General features: G+C 34.6%; 1 long non-coding RNA gene and 1 pseudogene across 1 annotated transcript in view, besides 4 other annotated features; both read left to right on the top strand.

The window, feature by feature from the left end:
* LINC02540 (long intergenic non-protein coding RNA 2540) overlaps positions 1-23,776 on the top strand; it is a 71,176-nt gene that overhangs the window by 15,241 nt on the left and 32,159 nt on the right. The gene's annotated exons all lie outside the window — the stretch shown is intronic.
* Positions 15,392-15,929: an enhancer, noted in NCBI's record as "OCT4-NANOG-H3K27ac hESC enhancer chr6:77272171-77272708 (GRCh37/hg19 assembly coordinates)". NCBI's record gives its function as "activates a minimal SCP1, AML or CMV promoter by ChIP-STARR-seq in naive H9 embryonic stem cells {active_cell/tissue: H9 hESC(naive)}" and the evidence as "EXISTENCE:reporter gene assay evidence [ECO:0000049][PMID:30033119]".
* Positions 15,930-16,469: an enhancer, noted in NCBI's record as "OCT4-NANOG-H3K27ac hESC enhancer chr6:77271631-77272170 (GRCh37/hg19 assembly coordinates)". NCBI's record gives its function as "activates a minimal SCP1, AML or CMV promoter by ChIP-STARR-seq in naive and primed H9 embryonic stem cells {active_cell/tissue: H9 hESC(naive and primed)}" and the evidence as "EXISTENCE:reporter gene assay evidence [ECO:0000049][PMID:30033119]".
* Positions 17,009-17,548: an enhancer, noted in NCBI's record as "OCT4-NANOG-H3K27ac hESC enhancer chr6:77270552-77271091 (GRCh37/hg19 assembly coordinates)". NCBI's record gives its function as "activates a minimal SCP1, AML or CMV promoter by ChIP-STARR-seq in naive H9 embryonic stem cells {active_cell/tissue: H9 hESC(naive)}" and the evidence as "EXISTENCE:reporter gene assay evidence [ECO:0000049][PMID:30033119]".
* RNU6-84P (RNA, U6 small nuclear 84, pseudogene) lies at positions 20,629-20,730 on the top strand (annotated as a pseudogene).
* Positions 22,788-23,332: an enhancer, noted in NCBI's record as "OCT4-NANOG hESC enhancer chr6:77264768-77265312 (GRCh37/hg19 assembly coordinates)". NCBI's record gives its function as "activates a minimal SCP1, AML or CMV promoter by ChIP-STARR-seq in primed H9 embryonic stem cells {active_cell/tissue: H9 hESC(primed)}" and the evidence as "EXISTENCE:reporter gene assay evidence [ECO:0000049][PMID:30033119]".

Below are 23,776 nucleotides of genomic sequence, written 5' to 3'. Positions count from 1 at the left end.
ATATTATATTACAAAGAATCAGAAGTACAGGCTTCATATGGTTTTAGGCAGGTCAGTCCTAAGAGACATATGGGGCACAAGGTAAAGGGAGAAAAATAGGGAAGAAAAATTTAGTTATCGTTTTGTATAAATATGTAAACATGTAAATCTAACCCAAATATTTGAGAGTATTTTGGGTACCACAAATATGGTATTCTTGTTGACTCCAATCATGTCAATACATGCAATAAATCCTTTAGTTGCATGCTCTTTTACCAGTTGGCTTTGCTACATAAGGAGAGTGGTACAACCTTGGTTCTCATTTCGCTCCACTAACATGTCTCAGGATGATAACTTTTCCAGTATACAAATGTGGACACATGTACTGCATTATCAGGCAGTATCTAAACGGGCAGCATTACCATAAGCTTATATATTTTGTATCTTATTTTAAACTCCAAATAAAACTTAGCTTGGCATGCATATGAATAATAACCTTATGAATGATAAGGTAAAGATTTCGCCAATTTCAAATACAGTACCTAAAACAGTGATTTAGATTGAGTGGTATATTCTCCAAAAATCCTTAGTTGAGAAAAGAAGACATGCTTGCAACCAGATAAAATTTTATATAAGAATACATTATTATAATGTATTATTTTGCCACAAAAACTTAATGGCAATGAGTCATTTTGCACTAAAATAAATAGAAATATTGTAAAACATAAAACATTTAACTCATACTGCTAAACAGCTTGGGTAAATGACAAAATTGTCAATTTTTACATTTTATTTTGTTTGTTTTATATCTATTCAAATAACTGCTTATTAAGGCATGCTCACTGATTTTGAGTAAGTCTACAAAAAAACTTATTTTAGAACCTTCTCTAACATATACATAAATTTATTGGCTCATTAACTACATTAGAGAATCAACCAAGTCAAAAGTTAATAACTTTGTTTTCCAGACTGTATCTGCTTTCTATTTTATAAAAATAAAGAGCAACACTTTATAACACAGTTACAAGTTCTAAGTGAACTATACTTTAACTCAAACTGATAGAAATAATGTGAGATATATCTTAATTATAATTGCTTATTACATCTGATCCCTAATAACTACACAAGTTATTTTGTAGAATGTTCTATGCTAAAGAAATCTTCACCTTTCAATATTATTTAGAAGCCAAAACACAAACTCATATACAGTACTTTGCAATTCTTTAATGCTTTTCCATTTCTTTATTCTACGAGCTCTTGGAGAGCCAATCTCCTATCTAACCTCAATTTCAAATTCCAATACCCAGAGTAGTGCACGAGCACAGTGTATTACTCATGTGGGCTAGAACTATGGCTTCAACATTATTCTGCCTCTGATTCTTTGGGGTGTTTTCCTTCAATGATCTTACATGGATAGGCTTAATTCTCTATATTGTTTTCTTAATACACATTTCCTTTTCAAAACTATCCCCTAACCTTAATACAACATTTTGACTCCACTTCAATAGTGCATAGACTGAAGTTTTAATTTTCCTATTCTTTTCCTGGACCCCAATTAACCTAACCTAGATTAAGAAATGTATTCTAAAATGTTAGTGGAACATTAATACTAGTAAATAACATCAGAGTCCTAAAGTTTAATCCTTAAGGACTAAACGTGGTAACTAAATTTTACCTAATCATTTGAGTACCATGGTTTTCTACGGAGCAGCAACAGAAGAGACACCTGCCCTCTCCCACAGGCTAATTTTAATTCTTTCACAAATCACTGAGAAGTCCTGTGAGTCATACACATAATTTCCACATGAATATGTATGAGTATATTTTATTAAAGCATACATTTGAAATAAAATCTTTCTGATGTAGCCATTTATGAAAACATATTTCTATTAACCAATGAGTTGCTAACATTTTTATAATCTCTTAAATCTTATGCTATATTTCTTGCTGAAAGTAACAAGCTGTATGAATTTCAACAAATGGTACCAATGCAGCACAGATGAAACATAAATTCTTCAAAATTCATTTCTCTTTAATACCACTTTGCTATACTGCACCTCAGTCTTTCATGTTCTACTTTTCTATTTCACTCTCAAGTACCAAGCATTAGAATTTTGATTCTATAGACAATATTTAAGTGGACTGAACCATTTTGTTCAATAAGAATATTACAGTAGTAAAGCATGTCAAACAATTGCCAAATCTATTATTTAAATAATTTTGAATATATAAAACTTAATACCCATGGTTATTTTGAGAAATGAGCAATAAAATATTAACATAAAACTTTATTATGCTGATGGCAATTGGCTAATTAATCATAATAGAGGAAGAAATAATCAATAATATTGATTTGACTTATCGTCTACCTATTATTTATTCAGCTATAAAGAACGTTGGTTGATGTAAATACTGCATCAGCCCAAAATGATATCAGTAATATTTTTTTGTCAAAGCAAGAAAGTACCAACAATTATTCATCTTATTGTTTCAGTGGGTTTAATATGCCACTTGTTTAACTCTGAAAAAAATTTTAGCTTAGTTGGCTAAGTAATATAGTAACATATCTCTTTGGAGATAATTTTTGGTGAAATTGTCACTGTCAGTTATGTCTTTAATAGATGTTAAAAATTTAGCAAGAACATTTCATATGTTTTAATTTCCCAATATCTCTAACTACAACTTCCTTAAAAGCCTTAGTTCTTTAATGTTACATTAAGCCAAATCACTTTTTTTCCTGAATTCTAAAAATTTTGGCTTGTGTACTGATGTTTTCTTAATATAATAATTTTTTACTCTTTTGAGTTTTTAAATGTATATAATATTTTAACATTTAAATATATTTTAAAATTGAATTATAGTGAACCATTGTTTTTTTAAAACCTTTATGTTACCTGCAATTTTACTGCACCTAGATTTGGGTGCAGTACTACAGTACTACACTCTATGAGGCTAATAATACAAACAAGAAACAAATCCACAAACCCCTCTTTTACTGTTTCCTGAAGCCCCAACATTTAAGCCAGTAACTAATCAGCTTACACACAGTCCACACCTTATGAACTCTCCCATTCATGTTCATCATTTAATTTTGTGTTATATATATTTCCCCCAGAGGATGACATTTCAATTCTGTCTGACTTCTGAAGGCTTACTTCAGCAGATGTTCCATACGGAGCTAGAATGACTTGCCTAGTAACTCTGTTTCTCTAATTTTAATCAAATGTTCAGTCATGTAAAGCCAGAGGGAATTTCTTTTTAAATTAATATAAATTTCACACGGAGCTACTGTGTGGTGCAAAGAATCCAAAATGCTATTTTCTAAAAGGTTAGAAAGTCAGTTGAAACACAGTTGAATACAAATAAAAGTATTTATGCAAGTGAGTGGCCTGAGTCCCTCTCTTGCTTTGTCTAAACTTCAAAGCCAAGATGCTCTCATCTGTTGACTGAAAAGTTTCCACCAAACGACGTGATTTGAGAGGTGCTAGAAAGCAGCTCTTGTTCCCCAAAGCCCCTCTCCCATCCGATGTATGAAATGTTTTTCAAAGGATATACAAGGGCTCTTCTATTATCACAGACAGTTTAAAATACATGGATTCTTAAGAAAAGGAAAACTAGTGACTTCAATTTGTGCAAAGATGTAATTTACTGGCATTAGACCTGAGTTGAATCTGTGACTGTGTTTATATGTGTGAAAACAGCGGAGGAAAGGAGAGGTGTTGACAGGGAATAGAGCAGAGGACAAAGAAATAACTCAGAGATAGCAAAAGCCAAACTTTCTCTAATTTACAACTTTAAGCTCTTCCTTGAGTCTTGGATAAGATACTATAAAGACAGAAAAGAATTTCCAATTTCAGTGAAAAATATGAAATAAAAAGGAAAAATAAAAAGGAAAAATTAAAATGATTAAAACTGAGCTCATATACTGGTTTAGAGTTCTCATGGCAATAGCTGTACCTTATATTGTCCTGCTTTATAACCAGGCTCAGCCAGCCATTTAACAAGAAAAACTTAAACCTTTAAAATGGTAAAAAATATATTTCAGATCTACACAGATTTTCGATTTTTTTTAAGTAACATGATATACAGTTTAAGCTAATATAACAGCTTAAAGACAAAAGTAGGATAAGTCAGAGACCATTTTATCTGCTTTTATATAGTTTTGCTTAAACACTTGGTGTTCAAAATAATTTTAATTGGTGTATATATATAAAACAGGAAACAAATGTTTTAAATGGATTTTTTTTGGCATGATGGAAAACCTTTTTTGACTTTATAATTTACCACCTGCATTTCAAGGTCCAATTGTCTAAATAATATAAATTTAATATAAATATAAATATATAATAAATATATAAATATCTTTGCAGAAGTTATATGTTTATAACTTACAATTATATTATATAACATAATGTAACAATTAGTTAATTATAATTAAATTTACAAATATATAATCAAATAACTTTATATATACTTAGCAACAAATACACACACACACACACACACACACATATATATATAGCAACAATTATCTAGATATATGGTTGTTGTTGTTTCAGAGACAGAGTCTCACTATATTGCCTATACTAGACTCAAACTGCCTGAGCAGTTTATATTGCTGGGTTCAAGCAATCCTCCCACCTCAGCTTCCTGAGTAGCTGGAACTACTGGCATGTACCACTGTGCCCAGCTTAATTGCCATTTTGACTAAGGGTTATAAACATATAATTTCTGTGGAGATATCATTTATATTTTCTAGACAATTGGACTTTGCAATGTAGGGGACAAATTATAAAGAAAGTCAAAAAAGAGATTTTCCATCATGCAAAAATAAAGATCAATTTTAAAAATTTGTTTCCCATGATTATATAATGGAAGTATTCTGGATTAAAATAAGAATAAGCTTTCAAAACTCAACTTTCAAATCATTCACCAGTTTTAGCTGGTGAAACAGTCAAGTTGAATAGAAAATTGCCAAGTTCTAAGTATAAAGTGAGTCAGAATAAGCTAATTTATGCTGTAGTAATAAACAAGCTCAAATTTTCAGTGGTCTAATGCTTCATGTCCACTGCAGATTTGAAAGAAGGCCCTGCTCTTTGTGATTATTCAAAGATGCTGCTGACATACATTTGATATTAGCTCTTATTTTCATGATCTCTGAAGCAGGAAAAAGTGATTGTGACAAAGCATGCACTGACTCTTAAAGCTTCCACATGGAAATGGCACATGACATTTCTCTTCAACATTTCTTTGCCCAAGGCAAGTTAGATGACCACACTTAATTGAAAATTACTAGTAAAATGCAATTCTACCATGTTTCTGTAAGGAGAGGCAAATTGGAGTATTTGTGAACAGACCTAATAACCACTATAATAGAAAAGGTAGGCCTTTTCTATTATTAGAAGTAATCCTTCTCTTAATTACAGGAAATTGGGGCTTACGTTAAACTTAGAGGTAAAGTGGGTGTTGTACAGAGACAGCCAGGATGGTGGTGGGCATGGAAATAGGCAGTAGGTTTTGCTCCATGGGAGAGATGAATCAAACTATTCTACTGTAGGAAGATGGCTATTAATAAGACACAAAATAGCTCGGACCCAAAAGAGCTTGCTGCTTATAATTCTCACTAACAATAGTAAGCAAGAGGACAATATTAACCTGGAGGCAAATGGATCATGAGGACTGAAAGCACAACTGCAAATGACCTTTGTATATTAATCAGTGTTAACTACATTGGTAATGAATTGCTGGTTGCACTTGGCTTTTATTTTACTTTCCTTTGTTCTATAATAAAAAAAAAAAACATGTTGTCTTGTTATTGGCAGTATGTCTTTTAGTCTCACAGAAATGGATTGAGTAATTGATTACCCAGAGTGTTAACTGCAGGCCTTAGGCCTCATCCAGCCCCCAATGTAGTCTCCACTGGTTGTGCTCTAACTGTGGTTGTCACCCCTCACTACTAGAAACCAAGAAATGGGAGAAGACACAGGTCTAAAGACTAAGCATACATTCTTGTCCCAACCTTCTGAACAGTAGTTGAAATAAGTTGATATCTATCTATCTATCTAACCTAGCTATATTACTATTTTCATATGGGTCTGATAAATAGTTTTGTTTATTCATAGACAAGACATTCCTCTAATCTATGTACTGAAGTTGAATAGAAAAGAAATTAATGATAGCAGTTTCTTCTCTATGAACATGACAAAAATTGCAACTTATACCATTACTTCAACCTCAAGGCTGTTTATACATCTGTATATTAATATTTACAGTATCTCCAAATTTTTCTAATCCTCTTAATTACAGACACTTCAAATGACTCTGAGGTACACAGTCTTGTCTCTAGTCGCTATTGAATTTAGCAGGATCCAAGGCTGATGGGATGTTTGGGTAAGAGCAGAATGTGGCCTTACTTATAAACCTCTCCCATGCCCCAGGGTCTTTAGGCAGTAGAATTTAAATTTCTTCCATGTCATCACTGGTGACTACAGACTTAAACTAGACTTTGACAGGATGTTCTTTCTTCAAGCAAAAATGTGTGCTAACTAAATTTGGGGGGCAAGTATGAGCAGCACTGAACTGTGTGCTTTGGAACCACACCCTGGCATGATATTCTGGTTGAGAATTATTGTAATTATACATGTATTCATCCTGTGGCTCTCCTGCTTAACTTCCAATAAATTGGTCATTAAAGTTAGAATTGGCGATTACACTAGGTTCCTTTTTTTTTTTTTTAAATTCTGACCAAATTCTTTTACAAAATTCATAATGCCATAAATTATAATGAAAAATAAAATAGAAACTATGAAAGAGCATTATGTTTATTCATAATAATCTTTGATTTTCTAATTTTACTCTGTTTCTGAATTTTTAATGTCTGTGAAAAAGCATACTTTTTGGAGAGGGAACATGAGCTCTTCCTGAGATTATATTTAAAAACTCATCCCTTCTCTTAGTGAAAATTAAGAGGAAAATACATTTGATTTGCACACCCTAAAATATCTCCATTTGTTTTCATAACTCCTGATAATAAGTGGTTTAGGGGATTATTATTTTAAAATAAATAACTTTGTCCAAGAGCATGAAACTAAATTGAGAGTAATAAACAGTATTAATGAATTCTTAAGTTCAATCTTAAGCACAATCATAGTTGATCTCCAATGAGAGGACTGTTGTTAACCAAAATTAAGTATCTTAGGTAAAGCAATGATAATTTAAAATATTTTTATTTTGAATATGAATTGGAATGTATCATTTCCCATTGACAGTAGTGGAATATTAATCAATGTATTGTACTGTTCCTGATTTCTTTAATAGGAGAGAAAATGAATGAAAGTGGTCCTGTCAAGTATGGAAAATGTTCCTTATCCATTCATGATAATATGACTATCTCTAGTATCAACAAAGGTGCTGTATTTCCCACTGTACTGCACTGTCAAAAAGTTTAAGTGAAACCAAGTCAAATGAGCAAGTTCAGTGTCTATAAGAGGCATCCAAAAACCAGTACCTATTATTGTAACACAGGCAGTGGTTTGCACCAGAAATTTCAAGTGATCTTTTCGTCCTCTCCCTCATTCACATCCTGCCCAAACCCAATTAATCATTAAGTTCTAGCCTACATTTTATTAATCTTTAAGTTCTAGTTGAGTATCATTTGAATCTAATTACTTCTCTCTCTTCATACTACAACTATTTTTCTCCTGGTTTGCTCTCCATAAATATTTATTGACTGAATGAATATTTGGCCATCAATATCTTCTAAACTAAAATGATTTGCCTTTCTCCAAATCTACTCTGAGCAGATTTTGTTGCTGGTGCTCACATTATTGTTCATTCCTGGAAAGCCTTTTTCCCATGGATCCTATTAAGACCTAATAGTTTATCAAAACTTTATTCAGAAAGCCTGCTCTCTTACATTTCTCCTTTCCAAAAGGAAAGTAATCTACTCTTACATTTAGCTAATGTAAGAGTACTTTTCTTAAGAGATTGTTAGGGCAACTATCTTCTAACAGATTAAGTTCTTTGAGAAGAGGATCTAGGAAATGATCATCTATGCTTCCAAGAGTCTAGAACAATTTATTCTATGTAACTAAAGCACAATATTCATTTTTCCTAACATAATTGATATTTTAACATGTTGCAGTACTTCCCAAGTTTAGTTGCAAATTATCTGAAGAAATTTTTTAGGATGCAGATTTCTAGGCCCTATCCCAGTCTAATAAATCCAAACTCCTGAAAGAGGGCTGCAGACTGGACTCTTCCGGTTCTGCTGCATTGTGGATGTGAATAGGCAAGCTAAAATATTTATCTATCCATTACCTAAACCCAACAGCATTAAACATTCATTGAGAGTCAGAAAGCAGTATGTATCTGGCCCTTTTGAAATTTTCCTATTTTTCTTAGTCCAACAACTTACATTTTTACGTCTTTTTCCTAGTCCTTTCTTTAAAACCATAGAATTGAATATTGTCTTTTTCTTTAATCGAATGAAGGCAAAAGATTTCAGCAAAACTAAAAAATCCATATCATACCCTTACTTCATTTTTAAAAGTTCCTACTACCACTTTATATAAACATAATATTTTATAATTTGTTCACTTAACATGTATTTACCATTTCCATTATTTCACCTGTTTTTTTAGCTATTTATCTTCAGCTTTGTTGATAATCATTATGAATATTTTAACAGTTCAATATTATCACTAAGTTCTTTAAGGGCCATCTTCAATTAAATGTACTTTTTTATCTGCTTTTTCAACATTTGAAGTTATTCTCCAATATTTGATCATCTTTTTTTATCCTCTATAGTTTATTTTCCAGCCAAATCATCCCTTTTCATTCTATCAAGATGGTAGCATTATTTCCTTTCACAAATACAATAGCACATAGATCCTCATTCTATTCTTAGATTTGAAATGATGAATAAAAACTTGCCTGGTGAGCAAATATCCACAATTTTTTTCCTTTTCTTAAAAAAAAAAACAAAAATTATATGTATTCATATTCCTCTGATGTAATTTAATTCAAAGCACTCAACAGGAAAACATGATCAATAATGAAAGTAATATAAGATCAAAATAACCTCATATCAAAATTCATTCTAAAGAACAGAAAAAAAATTGATCTATTTTGAAAAAACTCAAATGTAATGAATCTACAACAAATAATAACAGCATTTCTTTTGATAATAAACTCTGATAGTTAACACTGGTTTAAAGCCTACTTTGAATCAGATATTTTACATAATTATGTCTACTTCTATCTACAGTAGCCCTATCAGATTAAGTCCTATTACCCCCAGTTTATGGATGTAGAGAAGCCTGTTAAATAACTTTTCTAAGGCACATGGCCATAAGTAGCCTTACCAGGTTTCAAGCCCAAGTCTACCAGGCTCTAAAGCCTTTTACCAAACCATTCTGCCTATCAGTGAAAAAGACTCATTATCACTGCTAAATGCCTAAGGGCCCAGTTGTACTCTGTTACCTTTGATTTAGTCACTTAGCATTCCTGGGTATCAATTTCTTCTTATCAATATTAGGATATTGTATTAAAAGCTTTCAAAGTCCCTTGCAGCATTGAAACTCTGAGGTTCTAGCATAGAAAATCTAAAGTTTTATCACCACTTCATCTGCTAATATCCTATACAGTGAAAAGCCATTACCATTGATATGGTTTGGATATGTCTTCCCCAAATCTAATGTTGAAATGCAATCCCCAGTGTTGCAGGTGAGGCCTGGTGGAAGGCATTGGAATCATGGGGGTATATCCCTCATGAATGGCTTAGTGCCATCCCCTTTATTATGAGTGAGTTTATGTGAGATCCAATTGTTTAAAAATGTGTGGCACCTCCTACTCGCTCTCTCTTGCTCCTACCCATGCCATGTGAGATACCTGTTCCACCTTCACCTACTATCATGATTAGAAGCTTCCTAAGGCCCTCACCAGAAGCTGATGCCAGTACTATGTTTCCTACACAGCCTGCAAAGCCATGAGCCAACTATACCTCTTTTCTTATAAATTACCCACCCTCAGGTAATTTTATAGCAATGCAAGAACAAATAGCCTAACACAAAAAAATGGTACTGAGGAGTGGAGCATTGATATAAGTATACCTGAAAATGTGGAAGAAATTTTGGAATGGGAAGAGGTTGAAAGATTCTGGAGGACTCAGAAGAAGACAAGAATATCAAAGAAAGTTTGGATCTTCTGGTGCTGGGTGCAGTGGCTTGTGCCTGTAATCCAGCACTTTGGGAGGCCAAGGCGGGCAGATCATGAGGTCAGGAGATCAAGACCATCCTGGCTAACACAGTGAAACCCCATCTCTACTAAAAATACAAAAAAATTGCCCGTGGTGGTGGACACCTGTAGTCTCAGCTACTCAGGAGGCTGAGGCAGGAGAATGGTGTGAACCCAGGAGGCGGAGCTTGCAGTGAGCCAAGATCACACCACTGCACTCCAGCCTGGGGGACAGAGCAAGACTCTGTCTCAAAAAACAAACAAACAAAAAAAAAAAAACAAAGGTTTGGATCTTCTTAGAGACTGGTTAAATGGTTGTGGCCAAAATGCTGATAGTGACATGGACAGGGAAGTCAGGATGAAGAGGTCTCAAATGGAAATAAGGAACTTATTGGAAACTGTAGCAAAAGTCATGTGTGTTATCCCTTAGCAAAGAGTTTGGCTGCATTCTGTTCATGCTGTGGGGATCTGTGGAAGTTTGGACTTCATAGTGATGATTTATGGTATCTTGTGGAGGAAATTTCTAAGAAGCAAAGTGTTCAATATGTGGTGTGGCTGCTTCTAACATCCTATGCTTAGATGTGCGAGCAAACAAATGACCTAAAATTGAAGCTCATATTTAAAAGGGAAGCAGAAGTATAAAAGTGTGAAAAATTTGCAGCCTGGCAACATGGTAGAAAAGAAAAGCCCCTTTTCAGGGGAAGAATCCAAGCAGGCCGCAGAGCAACCACTTGCTAGAGAAATTTGCATAACTAAAAGGGAGCTATGAACTAATAGCCAAGACAATGGGAAAAAGTCCTCCAAGCCATTTCAGAGATCTTCCAAGATAACGCCTCCCATCACAAGTCCAGAGGCCCAGAAGAACAGAATGGTTTCCTGGGTCAGGCCAGGAGCACAAACGCCTTGTGCCACCTAGGGTGGCTGCTCCCTGCATCCCCACTCTACAGCTCTAGCTCAAAGGTGCCTAGATACAGCTCAGACCAACACTCCAGAAGGTAAAAGCTGTAAGCTTTGGTGGCTTCAATGTGGTATTAAGCCTGAAGGTGCACAGAGGACAAGAGTGAAGGAAGCTTGGCAGTCTCCACTGAGATTTCAGAGGATGTATAGAAAAGCCTAGGGTACCTAAGCAGAAGCCTGCCACAGGAACAGGGTCCTCACAGAAAACCTCTACTAGGGTAGGGAGGAGGAAAAAGGTGGGGTTAGAGCCCCAGCACAGAGGTCCCACTGGAACATACCTAGTGGAACTGTGGGAAAGGAGTCACCATCCACCAGACCCCATAATGGTATATCCACAATCAGCTTCCATGATGCACCTGGAAAACCTATTGGCACTCAACTCCAACCTGTAAAAGCAGCTGTGGTGGCTCAACCCTCAAAGGACATAGGGACAGAGCTGCCCAACACCTTGGGAGCCCACCCCCTTGCAGCAGTGTGCCCTGGATGTGGGACATGGAGTCAAAAGAGATCATTTTGGAGCTTTAAGGTATAATGACTGTTCTGCTGGGTTTCAGACTTGTGTGGAGCCCATAGCCCTTTTCTTTTGGCCAATTTCTCCCTTCTGGGCAGAGAATGTCTACCTAATGCCCATACCCCCATTGTATCTTTGAAGTAAATAACTTGGTTTGATTTTACGGTCTCATGGGTGAAAGAAACTCATTTCCAAATGAGATTTCGGACTTGAGACTTAGGACTTCTGAGTTAATGCTGGAATGAGTTCTGGCTTTGGGGGGACTATTGTGAAGAGAGAATTTTATCTTGCAATGTGAGAAGGACATGAGATTTGTGGGGACCAGGGCAGAATAATATAGTTTGGATCTGTGTACTCTCCAAATATCATGTTGAAATGTAATCTCCAGTGCTGGAGGTAAGGCCTGGTGGAAAGTATGGGGATCATGGGGGCATATCCTTCATGAATGGCTTAGCACCATCACCTTTGTTTTGAGTGAGTTCATGCAAGATCTGATTGTTTAACATTGTGTGGCATCTCCCACTCTCTTTCTCCTACACATGCCATATGAGACACCTGCTCTCCCCCTCACCTTCTACCACTGGAAGCTTCCTGAGGCCCTCACTAAATGCCAGTGCCTGCACTGTGTTTCCTGTACAAACTGCAGAGCCTTGAGCCAATTAAACCCCTTTTCTTGTAAGGAACCCAGCCTCAGGTATTTCTTTACAGCAAGGCAAGAACAGCCCAACACAATCATCTAACTGGAGCTTTAATTTCCTTTGACTATCTAATTTTATAGATCTTGTTTATTTTCTGAAAACCATTTAATTTATCATTCAGATTACGGGCTAATAGAAAATGGAAATTTTGCTCAGCATGGCATTGACATATGGCATGTTTAGTTTGCACATATAGACAAGTCAAGACCTGATAAGTCATATGTGACAGTTAATACATCCTCATGCTGCTTTTGTGAAAACAATGATCTTGATATGACTGGATTATTTGCCTTTTTGCTACATTTATTTTCTAATGTGTAATATCTTTAAACTGACTCCTGTCCATCAGTGAAGTAAAATGTGATGGGATTTCTAATGAAAAAAATAAAACAACAAATTTTTCCTTTATAAAGAGGAAACATTTTATTTAACTTAATACCATATTTGAAACATTGCTTCCAAGATCAGCTAACATATTTCATGTATTCATGTATAAAACTAGAGTGACATATACTCAGTAAGGCTTTGATTAGATGGGTTTGCCCATGACTTTTAAGTTTATCTAATGAGCTGAGCATTTTGTTAGAGATATTTTCTTACTATTTTTTGAAGCAATCCTCAAAGATCATTTACATAATAGAGATATGTTGATACTGTTTTACATTTTTCTTTCTAGTTTTACATATTTAGGTGAGACAATATCATGGATGAAAAGAACACAAGACTTAGAATTAGATGGCTTAGATTTGAAATCTAGTACCACTTTTGTTAGGTAGATTAGCAAATTACCTAACATCTCTGGGTTTTAGAATCTCCCTCTGCAAAAATAAAAGTAAAAAACACCCACATGTTTAACAGTGCAATTCTTAGGAAAATTAATGAAATGGCAAATGGTTAATACTTATTAGTTGAAGTTATGCTTTCTGTCCCCACTGAGAAAAATTACTTATTGTATAAACTAATTCTGTTGCTACAAAAACATTAAGATATATAGACTTTAGTGGAAGTGTCACTAACCATATAATGGGAGTCTCAAAACAACCAAAAATAGAAAAGAATGAAAATATTTATAATACATGACTACAAATGTCCCAAAATTAAAGAAGAATGAAAGATTTTAGAATAAAACATTTAAGCAAGCATAAGAAGTCCAACACATAGAAACATAATGAGCCTGTGTCTTCATGCATAAATGGAATCAAATAGAGAACTCAGACATAAAGCTACATATTTACAGCCAACTCATCTTTGAAAAAGAATGACAAGAACATACTCTTGGAAAAGAACACCTTTTCAATAAATGGTGCTGGGAAATTTGGGTTGCTGTATTCAGAAGAATAAAACTGGACCTTATCTCTCACCATGTAAAAAATCAACTCAAGATAGGTTAAAGACTTAAATGTAAAACCTGAAACTATAAAAATACTAGAAGAAAATCTAGGAAAACTCCTCAGGACATTGAGCTAGGCAAAGAATTCATGACAAAGACCTCAAATCACAGGCATCAGAAACAAAAATAGTCAAATGGGACTCAAAAAGCTTCCCTACAGCAAAATAAATAATCAAAAGAATGAACAGTCAACTTGCATAATGGGAGAAAATATTTGCAAACTATATGTGGCATAGTTACATAAATAATATATTTATAAAATTTAATATCCGAATTCAAAGAACTCAAGGAACTCAACAGCAACAACAACAAACAAATAATCTCGTTAAAAATTAGACAAAGGACATGAATAGACGTATTTCAAAAGAGAACATACAAATGGCCAACATATGAAAAAACAATCCCACTAATCATCAGAGAAACACAAATTAAAACCACAATGAGATATCATCTTATAGCAACTGGCATGGCTATTATTAAAAGACAAATAATAACAGATGTTGGTGAGGACGTGGAGAAAATGGAACTCTTAGACACTGTTGGCAATGTAAATTAGTGAAACCTTTAGTATGAAGATTTTTCAAAGAATAAAAAATAGGACTATCATTGAATCCAGCAATCCCACTACTGAATATCTACTCAAAGGAAAAGAAATCATTACATCAAAGAGATACCTACACCTGTATGTTTATCACAGCATTATTCACAATAGCAAACATGTGGAAACCACCAAAGTGTCCCCCAACAGATGACTGGATGAAGACAATGTATCATACATGCAAAATAAAATATTATTCATTCATAAAAAATAAAATCATGTCTTTCGCAACAACATGAATAGAGCTGGAGGCCATTATCTTAAGTGACAGAAGTCAGACATAAAATGACAAATACTGCATGTTCTCACTTAAAAGGTGGGAACTAAATAATGTATATACATGGATATAGAGTGTATAGAGTGTGGGATGATAGATATTGAAGACCCAGAAGGGTAAGGAGGTAGAAGAAGGATGGATGATGAGAGATAACTTAATGGGTACAATGTATGTTATTTAAGTGATTGATACTCTAAAAGCCCTGATTTCCCAAATATGCAATCTATACCTGTAACAAAATAACACTTGTACCCCATAAACTTATACGTACAAAAATAAAAGAAAAAGAAAGAACTTGTGTCTTCCTATAAAAAAAAAAATCAGATTTACATTAGGTTCTCAAGAGTAACACTTTAAGAAAAAAAAATGTGGTAATGTTTTCAGAAGTATTTCAATTTATAGTACTTACATACAGCAAAACTATTATTTAATAAGAGGGTAAATGAAAACATTCTCAATGCCTCTGAAGTTTTATCACACAAAGACTCCGTAAAACACTCTGGGAAACAGAACTCCATCAAGAAGATAAATAAATACAGGAAATCATTAAAATATATAATGGAAGTGGGCTAAAATAAGTAACTTGTAACATTCTGTCATTACCTAAAATAGGATACCCAAAGTCTGCCAGAACAAGAAATCGATGAAACCAATATGTCAGGGTTAAAGGATGGGAAGGGCAAGAGATACCAGAAAGCTAGAAAGGGGATCATGCTAACATCATTGCCTTGTTTGCCCAAAAATATAAAGATACTGATCGACTTCAGAAATGATAGAGAAAAATAAACTTAGGTATGTATCTTAATAAATTAGAGGTAGCTTCCAGAAAACTAACATACACTTTTAAAAAAACTCTCAAACTAGAATAATCAGCCTTTTCAATGGGGTTAGAAAATGACAAAAAGAAGCAAAACAGAAATACAGAAATAGAAAATGTGAATATGAAATAAGATGGCAAAATAAGTCCTAATGTAATATTACTTATATGTATTAAATGTATGTATGACATGTATTAGTAATACAAATTTCTAATTTGTATTACTGGTGTGTCCGTGTGAAGAGACCACCAAACAGGCTTTGTGTGAGCAATAAAGCTTTTAATCACCTGGGTGCAGGCAGGCTGAGTCCGAAAAGAGAGTCAGCGAAGGGAGATGGGGTGGGGCCTTTTTATAGGATTTGGGTAGGTAAAGGAAAAAGGGGGGTTGTTCTCTGGCGGGCAGGAGTGGGGGTCACAAGGTACTCAGTGGGGGAGCTTTTGAGCCAGGATGAGCCAGGAGAAGGAATTTCACAAGACAATGTCATCAGTTAAGGCAGGAACAGGCCATTTTCACTTCTTTTGTGGTAGAATGTCATCAGTTAAGGCAGGAACCGGCCATCTGGATGTGTATGTGCAGGTCACAGGGGATAAGATGGCTTAGCTTGGGCTCAGAGGCCTGAAAATAAATATATGTGCATTAAATGTATTAGTTAAAAGACAGGAATCTGAGGCTTGATACAAAATAAATAAGAAAATAAAGATCCAGAAATATGTTTCCTATAAGAGGCAAACTTAAAGTAAATGAATGTAGAAATTTTGAATGTAAGTTAATGAAAATAGATGTATCAAACAAATAAGAAATAAAAAGAAGCCAGGTGAAAAATTTAATAATAAGCAAAGTAGAATTCACCAAGGAAAATTCACAATGTAAAACAAAAGATGTCACGTATCTGGAAAAGAACAATAGATTAAAAAAATGCAATATCACAAACATATATGCACCTATCAACATAGCCTCAACATTGATTTTTTTAAGAACTTAAAGCTGTGAGTAAGCAGATAAACCAACTATTATGCTGGAAATTTATTTACAAAAAAACCTCAGAGTCTAATACATAAGCAATATAAATATGAGCAAAGATCTAGAAGATTTTTAAAGCACAATAAGCCTGAACAAAAGAATTATAGTAGTTCTGAGACACCATATGACCATTTTCATGTTTCTGTATGGGTAGGATTTCTAAGCAAAGAAAACTGAAATGTCATAAAAAAAATGTTTCTTTTCTTTCCCCAGACCCATTTCCTCACATACCAAGTGTCAGACCTGGAGCCATCTGCTTCCATTCAAAGGGCAATAAAACTTTTCTTCTCCGGTGCCAAGTGCTTGCATAATGAGGGCAGGGATCTTCACCTTTTTCTTCTCAGAGAAAACTCAGCTTACTTTAGAGAAGAGAGTGGTATGTGTAGAGCAATATCTACATAAACTTCCAAATTCACAAGCTTGGATTTCTTCTTTTGTAGTGCAAAATATATTCTGTCAGTATGTATAGGGTTTCACGCGCATCCGTGTGAAGAGACCACCAAACAGGTTTTGTGTGAGCAACAAGGCTGTTTATTTCACCTGGGTGCAGGCGGGCTGAGTCCGAAAAGAGAGTCAGCGAAGGGAGATAGGGGTGGGGCCGTTTTATAGCATTTGGGTAGGTAGTGGAAAATTACAGTCAAAGGGGGTTGTTCTCTGGCTGGCAGGGGTGGGGGTCACAAGGTGCTCAGTGGGGGAGCTTTTGAGCCAGGATGAGCCAGGAGAAGGAATTTCACAAGGTAATGTCATCAGTTAAGGCAAGAACAGGCCAGTTTCACTTCTTTTGTGATTCTTCAGTTACTTTAGGCCATCTGGATGTATATGTGCAGGTCACAGGGGATATGATGGCTTAGCTTGGGCTCAGAGGCCTGACACAGGGTAACATCTGCTATCATTGAATCACTCTTGAAAGAGGAAGAATGGGCCATGTGGAATCAATGTGATGGTAATCGATTATTACTTACTACTTAATCTATTATTAAGTAATAATAGTAATAAGTAATAGATTACTTATTATTATGTAATATAAGTAATCTTGTTTTAGAATACTAAAAAAAATTAAAAGTTTATCAAGAACATTATACTTAATAATAAATACATATTCATTTAAATTCCTAAGCTATAACCAAATCCCTATGAATTTCTAACAATTAAGATTATATAGTTTATGTTCTCTGGCCATAATTAATTAAACGTAACTAACAACAACAACAAAACCTTGGTCGGGAGAAGTATAAATGTATTAATGAGTCACCCATGAACAAAGCACTACATTAAAGTTTATAGTACACTGTTAGTGCAGTACCTAGAGGAAATGTATAGCTTTAAACATGTCAATCAAAACAGTAAAAATAGTAATAAAACATTTTGAATTCAATTAACACAATTAGAAAAAAAATAGAGCAAATCCAAAGAAGCAGGAATAAAAAATTAATTTCATAATTGCAGCATAAATCATTGAATTAGAGAACAACCACTAAGTAAAAATTAATTTAAAAATTGAACATTGTGTTAATATTGGAAAACCCTTGACAAAGCTGACAAGAACAATCTGAAACCAGAAATCCTCGTCAGCATGAGAAAATAAAGAAACAAATGATAGATAAAATATTTGAATGTGTAAATAATTATGAATGAGAAAGTCATCTACATCAGCAGTTCTCAAATGTAATCTGAAAATTTTGGAGGTTCCTGAGACCCTTTCAGAGAGTTCATAAGGTCAGAACTATTTTCATAATACTAAGTTGTGTTTGACCTTTTCATTTTTATTTTCTTATGATTGTACAGTGATTTCAGAAGCTATACGCCATCTAACATGGCAACAGACTGAAATAAAAAGCATATATAAAAATTCAGCAACTTCTACTAAGTCAAACATTAAAGGCTTTGCAAAAAGCTAAAACAACTCAATTCTTTTGAATATATTCTTATTTTGGAAATATTTACTCATTTTTGACTAGAAAAATGTTATTTATATTAACATCTAATGAGTTATTATATTCAATAAATTAATAGGTTAAAATTTTCTATTTTAATTTTTAATACAATAAATATCACCACACATAAATGAAAGCTCATCAAAATCTTTGGGATTAATAATTTTGAGATCATCAATAATTGTTAAGATTATAAAGGGGTCATGGGACCACAAGTTTTAAAATCTGACCGTGTACATAGAAAGCTCAATAGTGTCAACAAGCAAACTCTATAACAGCAATAACTAGATAATGTGATAGAAATGACACTATTCACAATAGCATCAAATCCCATGAATTATCTAGAAGTTAAAATATGAATGAATGATTACAAGTTTTATAGAAAATAGCAGTGAACTTTTCACAGAACATAAAAAGATATGAGTAAGTGGACAAATAAATATATAGCATATATGAGATTGTTATTGAACCCCCAAATTTGGGTTCATAAACTCAATGTACTGTAAATAAGACAAACACTGACACATCAACACTTAGGAGCAAAGAAAGGTTTATTCTGATCTGGCCTAAGCTTGGGAACGAGAGAGACAAACTCTCAAATCTGACCTGCCTTTGAACATAACTGGGGGCTTTAATGAATAGAGTAGGTATAGGGGAGGTGGGATCCCCCGAAGATCAAGATATTTTCATCCTTCAGCCAAATAAAACTTATGGACATCATCAAGGAGATCTACATAACCTAAAAATCATTGCTCTTTCAAAGAAAAACAAGTTCATCAGTCTTGTGGGAAGCCCTAGGAATTAGGATATGACATTAATCAATTACTAGTAAATACTGACTACTGAATGACTATGTGTAAGCAAGCACACATAGAGGAAGAAAACAACAAGGAAAAATAAAAAAATAAGTATAACAAACATCTTATGATCTTTATAATAAAGGCTCAGTTACAAGATGACTAAAATTTTAAAGATGTATACTTTCCTCCCAATTAATCTATAAATCCAATGTAATCAGAATTTGAAGATAAAGAAACTATAAATAACTAAGAAATGTTTAAAAAAGAATAACAAATAAAGAACCAGCCCTAAGAAATGTTAAGGCATACTAAACATCCTGGTAATAGACAGAGGTGGATAAAATAGATTTTTTATTCTGTTCCAGAAACTAGTCCACGCAGCTGATACTCTTTGTGCATTGCATCCCCTCATGTGCTGGTTTTCCAACTGCAAGCGCCTGTATTTATTTTGCCTGGAGATGTTCTCTTGTCACTGGAGACTTTTTGCCACCTGCACAGATGGTCCAAGTGCCAAAGACTTAACAGTCTTCAGGAACAGCCCTCAACAAATAACTATTAATTGGGTTTGCAGCGTTGTGCTGGAGCTGGCTCCTACCAGCTCAAGGGAACCAATTGTTAAAATTTCAGAAACTTTGCAAGCTAGGTGAAATCACTCAGCAGTTTGCAATTCTGCCTGGTGAGGATATTTACACTGCAGATATCACAAATGCTATGAACTGTTTGTTTCCTGAAAGGCAGTTGTTAACCATTTATCAGCATTCCATTGGTTTGGTGTACCTACACCCCTGGATTCCTTACTCTGGGTGTACCAATTCCTGTATCTACTCTGGCTCCCAGAGTTTACTACTGGGATTAAAGTGGTAGTATAAATGAAATGTAGGTTCAGTTGCTCACCACTTGCAGAGTCCAGTTAATAAGAGCAAGGTCTGATATAAAGAAAGTGACTTTTTATTCCCAAGCTAGCTTAGGGGAATAAGTACTGACTTCCTTCTTTAAGAGTATTGCTTTGCTTTTGGAGTAGAAAGCAGGCACTTTTAAAAGGAGTCTGCATGAAAGTTATGCAGGGGAGATGGGAGTCCACACTTGCTTCAGTGCCTTGTCTACCGGGTGCTCAAGCTAGCGACCACTGGTGCCTTCATGGGCAGAATTAGGTTGTAAGAGTGGCCAAAAATCTCCAGGTGAGAGAGAGTTTCATAGTGGGCATATTTTGTGTTGTAAATTGGCTGTTGTCTCTTGAGGCAATCTCCTGGTGGGAGAGAGTACTGTTCTGGAGCTCTAAGGATATAGTTAGATAAGCTTGCCCTGTAAGGAGTATCTGGTGAAGGAGAGGTAAAAGGTTTTAATTGCATTTCTAAAGCACTAAGTAAGAAGTGGGGAAAAGGAGGAAAGAGAAAAGAGAAAAAAATAATACTTGCTTCGGCGGCGCATATTAAAATTGGAACAATACAGAGAAGATTAGCATGGCCTCTGCAGAGGGGTGACACGCCAATTCATGAAGTGTTCCATATGTTTAACATTTAAAATATATATATATAAAAAAAAAACTATCTTTTTTTTTTTTTTTTTTTGAGACAGAGTCTCTGTCACCCAGGCTGGAGTACAGTGGCGCGATCTCAGCTCACTGCGACCTCCGCCTCCCTGGTTCAAGTGATTCTTCTGTCTCAGCCTCCCGAATAGCTGGGACTACAGGCATATGCCACCATGCCCAGCTAATTTTTGTATTTTTAGTAGAGACGGGGTTTCACCATATTGGCCAGGCTGGTCTCAAACTCCTGACCTCGTGATCTGCCCGCCTTGGCCTCCCAAAGTGCTGGGATTACAGGCGTGAGCCATTGAGCCCAGCCAACTATCTCTTAGAAAAATGAAGGTACTCATTTATAGTAGCTACATTCAAAATGCACCTGTATCCAAATAAACTATGTGTAATCAAATGCTTGCCTGAGGATTCACTTTGGAGAACTTCACACTAAAACAACCCACTAAATGTGGGCAATTAATACTTAATAGAAATGACACTACAAATTAGAAAGGAAAAAATGATTTGGTTAGCAGATTATTTTGGGAAAAGAATTACTAAGGAAGAAAATAAAGTTTGTTTAATTCCTCATATTATATATAACTCCCATTTGATAAGAACTTAAATGTAGAATGATAAAATATAGTATTAATAGAAGATAACATAGAATATCATTCTTTAAACAAAGGAAGACTTTCCTAAATTCAAAATTCAAAAGTGTAAATTTAACAATTGATGAATGATGACATAAATAAAAATAAGAACTACTCTTCTCAAAGAAAGATTATATAGATAACCACAGTAGACAAAAGACAGACTTAACAATTGATGATTGATTACATAAATAAAAATAAGAACTACTCTTCTCAAAGAAAGATTATATAGATAACCACAGTAGACAAAAGACAGACTGGGAAAGTTATTTATATTTCCCAAACTAATACCTGATTGTTTTATGTATGATATATAAATAATTAATTGAAATAGATAAGAAAAAAAAGTAACCCAAAAGTAAATGTTCAATAGATACGTAAAGTCAATTACTAGAAGGAGAAACTTGAATGGTTTATAAGTATATAAAGATGTTTAATAACACAAGTAATCAGTAAATGTATGTTAAAACATCAATAAGACACAATTTTACTTCATCATATTGTCAAAAAATAAAGTGAGCTAACACCAAGTGATGACAAAGAACCGATGCGTGGAAAAATTTAAACCATCATTAATGGGCACAAACTGTTATAGCCATTCTCCAGAGCAATCCAGCTCAACTAAATCAATTAGATTAGGTATGTGTAAAACAAAATTCAGTAGTTTCATTTTTTAGTATGTATGTATTCTAAGGAAATTCTCATGTGCTCCTTGAAAAACATGTTTTTTCAACAATGTTTATTTCAATGTACATTGTACGTTGTGGTCATGGGAAGTCACAGACAGCCCAACTAGTCATTTCAAGGGAAATGAATACATCAAATTTGGTAGATACATACTATATATATCACGTATACATAGTATTCAGCTACCAGCAGCAAAGATATAGCAGTAAAAAGAGCAACATGGATAAGGATTGCAAGTGAGATTGCATAGAAACAGAAAGATCTGCAGCCTAATATTTATGTAAATAAAATCATGTGTATACACAAATATGAATGGAATACCAAATATTTTGACTGAGATACATTCATATTAAATGATATGTATGAAACACATGAAAATGAGAATCTATAGAGGAATATGGACCATGGGGATGGGGATTCAAAATAAATATAACAAGAAGGAGGGTCTAACAAATGTACTTTCTCAATACTTAAGAATTTTGTCTCTCTTTTTTTTTTTTTTTTAATTCAGTTGGAGTCTTGCTCTGTTGCCCAGGCTGGAGTACAGTGGCATGATCTCAGCTCACTGCAACCTCCACCTCCAGAGTTCAAGCGATTTTCCTGCCTCAGCCTCCTGAGTAGCTGGGATTACAGGCGTGCACCAACACATACGGCTAATTTTTGTATTTTTAGTAGAGACAGGGTTTCACCATGTTGGTCAGGCTGGTCTCAAACTCCTGACCTCGTGATCTACCTGCCTCGGTCTCCCAAAGTGCTGGGATCACAGGCATGAGCCACCGCACCCGGCCAAGAATTTTCTCTTTATCCATTGATTTCAACATAATGCTTTCCTTCTGCTAATAATTTATGAAGGTTTCTGGCTGTCGATTTTACTTGGAAATCTCATGAGTGTCTTTTGGGTGTGGGAGTGCTTTCTCTCTGTGACATCTGGTGCTCTGTTTACATTGCCTTTGCATCTGTATTCTCTCTATTAGAGCTACTTTCTCTGCAGGATTAGGTAGGAGGAGCCACATGGAGCTTGCACTTGAAGCTAAAGAGACCACCCACCAGCCTGCCCCATTTTCTTGCACCATGATATCTGATCTGTTCTAGTTTGGCTGAATCATTCCAAGTAACTCAGGGTGTGCCATGCTATACTTTGATGTAATTTAAATTTTGACCATTTTAAACAGTTCAGCCATGAACTATGTTAAATACATAGTGAGTGTTCTATCAAGATTTGTCTTCATCCCAAGAAAAATAAGAAAGCCCTTGAAAGGTTTTAAGTGCATCACACTCAACTTGAATGAAGATACTGGTGTAAATACAGAACAAAGAAAAGATGAAGCTTAACAATAATCAAGATAAAAATATTTTATATGCAAAAATTGATAAATAATTTCAGGGCTCCCAGACCAGAAAAGTCAGTTGTTACCTCAGCCTCCAAGATTCTTACATCACTTAAAAGGGTAGTAAAGGAAGAGAAGAAAGGAATCCTGACTTTATCTAAAGGACACAAAGTTTTAAACCAAAACTGACTAAGTTGTCTTGACTTGGTGAGTTTAAGTTTTCTGCTATGAAGCAGAAATGTGGGCTTATATGTTAAATCAAGTCCAGATATGGAGAAACAAAGAACATTACAGTTTTTGCACATGTGATGTTACTATGTAAATTCATATGCCCTAAATATGTAAATAGATTTCTGTGCTCCCAAAAGCCTTCC

The sequence above is a fragment of the Homo sapiens genome, chromosome 6 (genome assembly GCF_000001405.40).
Source record: "Homo sapiens chromosome 6, GRCh38.p14 Primary Assembly".
Classification (NCBI taxonomy): Eukaryota; Metazoa; Chordata; class Mammalia; order Primates; family Hominidae; genus Homo; species Homo sapiens.
This window is presented reverse-complemented; position numbering and strand designations above follow the sequence as displayed.